Here is an 8,339-nt window from a genome sequence, read left to right as displayed (position 1 = left end):
AGGGATGCTGAGGCCAGAGGGGTGACCAGGGGCTGCTGGAGAGGTGCTTAGTGTCACTGTGTGAGTGAAGCAGATGCTCACTAGTAGGGCCCTAAGGAGGGCCCCAGGACCTCAGCTGTCACTCTCCCAGAGGGACGGCTGACCACTGGGGCCCAGCAGGGGACAGGGGCTGCCCTCTTATGGGCACCTGGGAAAGGATAAGGCGAGGGTCTGGGTTAAAGTCAGTGTGAGGGATACAATTAGGGATTAGGGTTGAAGTCAGGGTCAGTGTCAAGTTAGATTTAGGGACTGGAGTGAGAATGAGGGTCAAGGTCAAGCTCAGATCGGGTCAGGGCTTTTCTGGTTGGCTTTGTCAAGGGTTGTACAGACACGTACTCTGGTGTTTACTCTTGCTGCGGGCGAGAACCTGGGATGGGGTCCAGGCTGCCAGGTCTTGGTCTCTCTGGGACCTTGGCCAAGTCCTTTTCCTAACTGGGTCCTGTTTGTTGTCTGTAAGCAAAGGAGCTGCCCAGACACCCTGTTCTGCCATGAGGAGCACCCTTTGCTGTGAAGGGCAGGCAAGAGATGCCGCTTGGGCTCTGGATGCACTGAAGAGGACCCACGTGCGGGCTAAGCACTTTATGGGCTTTATCTCAACTTCCTCATGACCAAAGCCCCAGGAGTCACAACCCAGGAAACCTAGGCCCTCAGGAGCAAGCAGAAACACACACTCTGTCCCCAATAAACAGGGGGCTGAGTAGCTATGATGGACTGGACCCACACGGCCTCATACCAGAGCCCAGGTGCCAGCTGGGTGACTGCACGACTCCAGCACTACCAGGTGCAGAGCTGGAGCCCAGGTGTTTGGCCACCTGTCCCTGTTCCTTGCCTTCAAGACAGGCAAGTTTCTCCCAAAGTGATCTTCTCATATGCCCCCTGGCTGAGGCCTGGCCCCTCATGTCCAAAAGTATTTGGGAGGAGGTGGAAATGAGGGAGTGCGGTCTAGTCATCAGGGTCAGGTGGAGGATGATAGGTCCAGTGGCTCATTAAATTCAGAGCAGTAGCTATGATCTGTGAAAAGCACACAAGAGAGTGTTTGGTTTGTTTGTTCGTTTGTTTTGGCAGTAGGGTACCAGCGATAATAAGATGAGGCCAAGGGAGGCCTCATCAGTGTCTGGAAAATTAATCATGTTTCATTGCTTTGGCGGGGGCTGTCTTGCCTCCAAAGTCAACAGTCCTCAGTTGAGGCTCTCTTGAGAGAATGGGTGTCCAGGAGTTAGACTGAGGGCAGTGGTAATGGTCTGGGACAAGGTGACCACAGCATTCTGAGACGACAGGTGGGCCAGGTGTCCTGCAGGCGAGAGCCAAAAGACGCTAATGGTCTGGCCTCTCTATGCCTCCGGGAGCCTAGGGTGTTCCTTCTCCTCCAGCAGAGCTGCTCCGCTTTTCGAAATCCTCACTATTCCTAACCCACAGTGTTCTTCTGGAGGTGATTACTATGTATCACCCCAGACGTGCGGGCTGCGCCAGCGGCACTCTTAGGAGTGATCACGCCTGAGATAATGATCATGATCATTATCATCAATATCCACAACTGCCCAGCGCTCGCACGCAGAGCCAGGAGGTAAGAGTGACCGGATTAGCATCTCCCACACCAACCCCCACCTTGCAGCCCACGGGTCAGTAGCCCGGGTTCCTCCATGCAGGGATGGAGGTGGGCAGAGAAGAGTGAGGAGGATGAATTATGCAGCAGGGTCTCTCACAGCCAGTGTGGGTCTTTTCTTATTCCCCCTCCCTACCTCATAACTAAATATTTTATTTAAATGAATGGTACCTTCCTGGAGAATTGCCACAATTAGAGTCCACTTATCTTTTCAGTTTTTTTTTTTTTAGTTCATCTTTTAAGTCACCTGCTGTCTGTGGGTGGTAGGCGACATGAAATGTCCCACACAGCAGCCCTCAGATAGCTGCCTATTGCTGGTTCTCTTGGCTATGAGGGCGGCATCATTGTCCGACTGGATGTGCTCCAGGAGTTCAGATATGCAGCAGTACATTTAGGACTTGTCAAGCAGCACGGCCCACGTTCCCCGCAGATGGGAATTGCTGCATCTACGGTCGTCAGCACCCAGTGGTGCTCCTGGCAGAAGGGGAAGGGGTCCGTGGAGTCTGTTTTCCAGGACTGGCCAGGTCAGTGTACTGGAGTGCACAGGTCGCTGTGTGCACTGGAGTCACTTTGTCCCTTGACTGTGGAGCTGGTACACTTGCAGGCTTGCTTGGCCTCATGTGCTGGCCTCACTAGGCTTTGACGTGGGCCCCAGTCCTGAGCTATGGACAGATGGCCAGGCCTCGTGTGATGGTGTATCCAGGTGGCTCTGATGCTTACCTGGGCTATGCAGAATTGGTCAGCTTATTGGTTTCACTGACGTTCACTGCCAAGGGGTCCTTTTCACTGGGTTTTCAGAGGCCCTGGGCCCTGTGCAATCTGAAGCCTAATGTTTGTCCCAACCAGGGTTGGGACTTGACATCCAGTTGTTCCATTGTCAAGTGCCAGACCACATGGTCAGCCCACTGGCTGTGAACTTTGGTGGGGGCTGTTTCCAGGGCAAGAACCATAGCCTGCACCACTGCCCCTGGCCAGACTTCTTTCTTCATATGCAGCTTTCATCAGTGTTTTCTGTGGGTCCTGTAGCTTGGCTGATCTGTCTGTGAATCAGGCCCAGGCCTCCTCAGGGACTGCGCTGTGGTGAAGTTCACAAGGAGCCTGAGGTGCTGGTGCAGACCCCAGGTCTGGGGTAGCTGCCCCTGGCGGGTGATTGCCACTTTTTCAGGCTGATGGGAGATTCCATTGATGCCTGGCTTCCTCCTTTCTTGGCTGTCCCCCTGTCATTTGATGACAGACATTTGCTGGGCAGTGTCCACTGTGTTGGTGTCTTTCCTCCAGACCCACCCTATAAGGGTCTGCCTGGGAGGAACCATGCATGGGGAGCTCTACCCTCAGTGTCTACCTACACCCAGCTGCAAGTCAGTAATTACCACTCGAGGGGGTGTGCTGGGCCCTGTCTGTCAAGTCACTGCTGTACTCAGAACACCAGGGGTCACCTTTGTTGACTGCCAGCATCCTGCTGCAACTGGCTCCAGGCTGAGTAATTGTCCGCCACGCACACTCATAATTTTCAAGGCTCTTCAGGACTAATTGGCTGGGGAGGGCAGTCCGCACAGCTGCTGGATGGTTTCCTTACGCACCTCTTCCTCTACAGCTCTTTAGTGCTGTGGCCCCTGCCCTCTTCTATTCTATGCTGCTTTACTGCCATCAAGTGGCTGGGCAGGTGAAGCCTGGTGGGCTCCCAGGTGTGTGCTTGTCCCACCGGCCACTGTCCTAACTGTGGCCCTTCCCCTGTGGGAGCAGACCTTGCAGTCAGGAGTCACAGCATCGGCTGATGTGCAGAGCTGCTCTCTCCTTCCAGGCCCCCGACCCAGCCTCCTCCTCTATTTCATCCTGTCTGGTTTTGTTTTTGTTTTCATTTTTACATCTCCCTGAGCCCAAGAACTCTCTGGACATCAGGAGGGGCAGCATTTGGTTGGCTGGTTTCAATTCTTCCTCTTGCTACTCAGCCTGCAAACATTCCTCAGGAGGTAGGACAGAGGGGTACCCTGTTCCCCTCCTCTCACCCTCCCTGGGTGACAGCATGCCTGGGCGATCCTGGGGTCTTCCACATCTCTTCATTTGGTCGGCCACGTGGGCCTCTTCTGTCTTCTCTCCAGAAAGGCATTGTACCCTTACTGGCCCCACGTTTGGGACCAATTTATCAAACTGTGAAGCAATTTCCAAGCGACAGCGTGGGTGGCTACATGACTGCAGCTGCTGGTGGATTTGGCGCACTTCCATGCATCCAGCCAGGGATGAGACAATGAGCCCACGTGGATTTAGACAGTTTATTATTTACAAGAACAGCAGAAGCAAAATGGGCAGGAGGTCAGCTCCCTTGTCCCTCATCCCACAGTCTGACTCTGACCCGGAGGGATCGGATGACAGTGTGAGCAGAGGGTCACTCAGCCATTTAGGAGCTGCCTCCATATTACAGCCAAACAATTTTGTAGCCTGCAGCTGAGAAAGACCTCTCAGTGGCTTCTCCCAAGTCTTAGCTCCCCTGGCTGCAGGAGGAATTGTAGGGCATTCAGCCGAGACACAGGTTGGACCGCAGCTGAGCCTTGCTTATGTGGCCTGCGTGGATACGCGCAAGATTCCCAGGGAGTCGTGCAGAGTCACAGACCATTCTCCACTCCGTTTCCTAATGGAGATCTGACACCCTCCCTCACCCATCTTCAGAGCTTCCCTTCATCCCTGGTCAGGCCCTGATTGAGAGTGCACCCCTCAGTGCTGAGCACTCTGATCTGGGATTCCTCCCTCCTCGTCCACACCTCTGTTCCATCAGCACCTCTGTCAGCCCGAAGGCAACATGGGTCTTGGGCACATCTGCTTCTCTCCGTGCCCATGCACACCCTTCTCCAGGCCCTGGTCCCCTCCCAGCTGGACACCTCCTGCCCCAGCCTCCTCCCTGGTCTTCCTGCTGCCTCTCCCGCCCCCATCCCAGCCAGGTGCCAACACTGCAGCCAGAGGCAGCTTCGTGAAATCAACCCTGCTGACATCCCTCCATGGCTTCCCAGTGCCTAGAATCAATCCAGCCTCTTTCTCTTGACTCACAGGCCCGGTCCCTGGGGTCGCCCTGGAATCCCTCTGCCAGCCCCTCATGACTCCTACCCCCTTTCCTCTCTGTGCTCTCGTCACTCTTGCCACCTGTCTTGATGCTCCTGGAGCCCCCTGAGCCTCTCCCACCTCATGGCCCTGCACTGGTGTCCTCCTCCTGGCCCTCACTCTCCCTGGAGCAGTCTCATTCTTGTCCTTCAGGTTCCAGGCTAAACAGTGCTTCCCACGAGAGGCTTCCCTGACCCGCGGTTTGCCGCCTCTGCCCTCTCCCTGTATCCTGTCATTGAGCACGTTTTGTCCTCACTGACACCCTCTCCTGGCTAAATCCCCCACTCCTTGCTGGACTGGGTGCCTGGGGAGGGCAGGGAGAGGCCTCCTCTGTCTTGGTCACTACTTCATCCCCAGGGCCTTGAACTGTGCTCTGCACAAGATCCATTAAGTGAATGAATCACAACAATGAGGCTGCAGCTCCCCAGCACCTTCTATGCCCTCCCCCTCCCCATCTAATCTAGTTTAGTGAATGGAACAGCGGGGGATTCAAGGCAGCTGTTGCTCCTCAGTGTGGCGCTAGTTGGGGAGTTAGAGGGAAGAGTTCAGTTTGACTCCAGGACAGGGCTTGAATAATTCAGAACACTGTTTTTTTTTCTTTTGCCACAGAGTCTCACTCTGCTGCCCAGGCTGAAGTGCAATGGCATGATCTCTACTCACTGCAACCTCTGCCTCCCAGGTTCAAGTGATTCTCCTGTCTCAGCCTCCCAAGTAGCTGGGATTACAGGCATGCACCACCTGGATAATTTTTGTATTTTTAGTAAAGACAGTGTTTCACCATGTTGACCAGGCTTGTCCTGAACTCCTGACCTCAAGTGATCCACCCACCTCAGCCTCCCAAAGTGCTGGGATTACAGGCATGAGCTACCACACCTGGCCCAGAACATTATTGATGACACCCCTGAGGCTGGGGAGCCATGACCCTGCCCCTTTAAGGACCCTGCTCCGAACTGAAACAGTAACACACATCCATGAGCTAGGACAGGGAAGAGAATGACAAGGACTCTAAACCACCCAGCAGTGAAATTTCCAATGGAAATAAGACCCACTGGGCCCCTCTGTGTTGGGGGTGGAGTGGGGGAGGGCAGCACTCCTGGAGACTCAGATCGGTTTTCAGGTTGTTTGCCCCAGCACTAAGCCGAGAAGTGAGCAAGGAGGGTTTGAAGCTTCAAGTCCACACCCAAGGTCTGCTCAGTGGGAAATCCTTCATCCCTGAACCCACCAGCAATTCCAGACCCAGGGGTGAAGGGAGGTGCAGGTGAGGGTGAGTATAACATGTGGCTTTTCCTGGAGGGCAGGGAACAGGAGTGGGAAGTCAGAGCTTGGGCAACGGGGACCGAGCTGCAGGGCCATGTGACCTAGTGCCCCAGGGGATTTGGCTGTCTTCCTTGGCTCCCGGAGCTCAGAGCAGTGCTGCAGCTCATGCCAGGGCATGTGAAGACAGAGCTAACTGGAGTGCATGGGGTGCCTTTGGGTGGAGGTTGCTGATGGCTGGGACAGATGCACCCTGCCCACTGTCTCCTCTGGGGACAGTGACATCTTTCCCTGCTCTGATAGCTTGAAAGGACCTGCATGGCTGAGCTGCCCAGGGGAGCATTGAGGTGCTTCCTCTGTGTCCTGAGGAGCCAGGTGCTCTCTGCACCCCCAGCTGCTGGAGCCCAGAGGGTGGCAGCCTGGAGCTGGGGCAGCGGTGCCTGGTGCAGTGAGGACTCGGTCTGTGTGGCCTGGTTAGCACAGGACCATGAGGAAGGGGTGAGGACCATCAATAAGAGGCCATCTCCAAGGCCTGCCTTCAGAGGCAAGCTCTTCTCTCCCACACAATTGCTTTGATCCTCGTGGGAAATGTGGTGGACCCTTTTAAGGGGCGGCAGAGAGCACTGGAGGAGAGAGAAAGGGGCCAGCAGGCACATGGGAGATACCTTGACCTCAGGGAACCACTGTTTCAAACCAGAAAGGATCTTTTATACCTTGCTGTCATGCAGCCAAACCAGGCGGACATACGAGCAAGCAGGTGCACCCACGCATCTGTACATGAGCAGTGCGGACAAGTGGCTGCAGGAGGCCCCCGGCCTGTCTCAGGCACTAGCACAGGACTATTCATCACTGGTTCCTGCATTTCTTTCAGGTTTGGCCAAGGCATCCCCAGGGACAAGCACGGATGACAGCAGGTGAGCTGAAATCAACCTGTGCTTACACAGTGAGTCTTGCCAGTGCCTCTGAGGAAAGATGACCTTGGGGAAGTGAGTGGTCATTGGTTTCCTGTGTGCCCGGTCCTTCTGGAGAAAGAGTCTGCAAAACATGCCTAGTCTGTGTGGTCACAGCAGGAAGAGGGCAGAGGTGGGGGCCCTGTCTTAGCAGACAGCACCATGAAACTGGATCTTGAAGAATGAATTTGCCAGAGGGAGGAATGGCTTGCCTGGCAGGGGGGAAGGCAGAGTCAAAGGCCCAGAGGTAGAAGGGCATGACTTTCCAGAATGCAGAGAGCTGGGAAATGAGTTGCAGGGAGGTCAGGCAAACCCCAAGTGAGAAAGACTTTCAAAACCTGCAGGGGCATTTCCCCATATCCCCTAATGTTCAGCCTCTCAGTATTTTTTTTTCTGCCCTGGTGGTGGCTTTCAAACATATCCACCAATTCTTCCACACTCTCCCCATCAAGACACAGAGGCCACGAACCTCACCTTAAACCACAGCCCTTAATGATTACAGCAGGAGAGAGCCGAGTGCCTTCTGAGGCTGCTTATAGAAAGCCACATAGGTCCTGCCAGTTCTCCTGGGATCCTTGTTCTGGGAGCCTTTAACCATCATGCTGGGAGTCTGGCAGCCCTGAGCTGCTGTGTGGGGACGCCTCAGAGAGAGAGACCCAATAGGCCCAGCCTATCCAGCATCCAGTGCCTGGAGTCTTACCAGCCCAGACACTGGGCGCGTGAGTGAGGACACTCGCGTGTGACTGCAGCCTCCATGGACTGGAACCTTAGAGATGCCCCCAGGCAACAGCTGCCTAGCAGCCCAGTCAGCCCCAGATTCCTGAGCAAAATAAACCTCGGCTATTGTTTCAAGCCATTGTTTTGGGATGGCTTTTTAGTGCAGCACTAGGTAAACGGAACAGTCCTTGCCAAACCTACTATTCATCATTTAACTTTTAGAGTTTTTCTATACTTCTACTTAAAAATGGGAATCTGTTAAAATGGGAAACTTCATATCCCTGTGTACGTGGAAATCCAGCATCAATGACCGTAAACGGAAGACAATTCTATAAACACAGAGGAAAAAAATGCATGTGTTTGGTTTCTACACAGATGCTGCTGTCTCTTGGGGCCTGCACCTCGGCAGAGGCTGATTCCAGCTTGCAGTTCTCCGCCACTTGCAGGTGCGGCATTGAAATCATTCCTTGGTATTATCTGTCTTTGTGATTAATGATAGTTTAAGATGGTACACAGCCACAACAAGTAACAGAATTTAATTTCACTAGAAATTTTAAATTGCAGAGGTGAAACAACAGAATGCCCCTTGGTGAAAGAGCAATGTCAAGCAGATGAGTAGTTTTTCCACAGTAAAAGTAACTCAGCAATTAATATTTATTTTTGGTTACAGGCGGGCATGCAGAGCA

The 8,339-nt window shown here is 53.9% G+C and overlaps 2 annotated features.

Annotated features, from left to right (window-relative positions):
- Positions 4,118-4,763: an enhancer, noted in NCBI's record as "H3K4me1 hESC enhancer chr3:46703861-46704506 (GRCh37/hg19 assembly coordinates)". NCBI's record gives its function as "activates a minimal SCP1, AML or CMV promoter by ChIP-STARR-seq in primed H9 embryonic stem cells {active_cell/tissue: H9 hESC(primed)}" and the evidence as "EXISTENCE:reporter gene assay evidence [ECO:0000049][PMID:30033119]".
- Positions 5,744-6,339: an enhancer, noted in NCBI's record as "H3K4me1 hESC enhancer chr3:46702285-46702880 (GRCh37/hg19 assembly coordinates)". NCBI's record gives its function as "activates a minimal SCP1, AML or CMV promoter by ChIP-STARR-seq in naive H9 embryonic stem cells {active_cell/tissue: H9 hESC(naive)}" and the evidence as "EXISTENCE:reporter gene assay evidence [ECO:0000049][PMID:30033119]".

The sequence above is a fragment of the Homo sapiens genome, chromosome 3 (genome assembly GCF_000001405.40).
Source record: "Homo sapiens chromosome 3, GRCh38.p14 Primary Assembly".
Taxonomy (NCBI): domain Eukaryota; kingdom Metazoa; phylum Chordata; class Mammalia; order Primates; family Hominidae; genus Homo; species Homo sapiens.
This window is presented reverse-complemented; position numbering and strand designations above follow the sequence as displayed.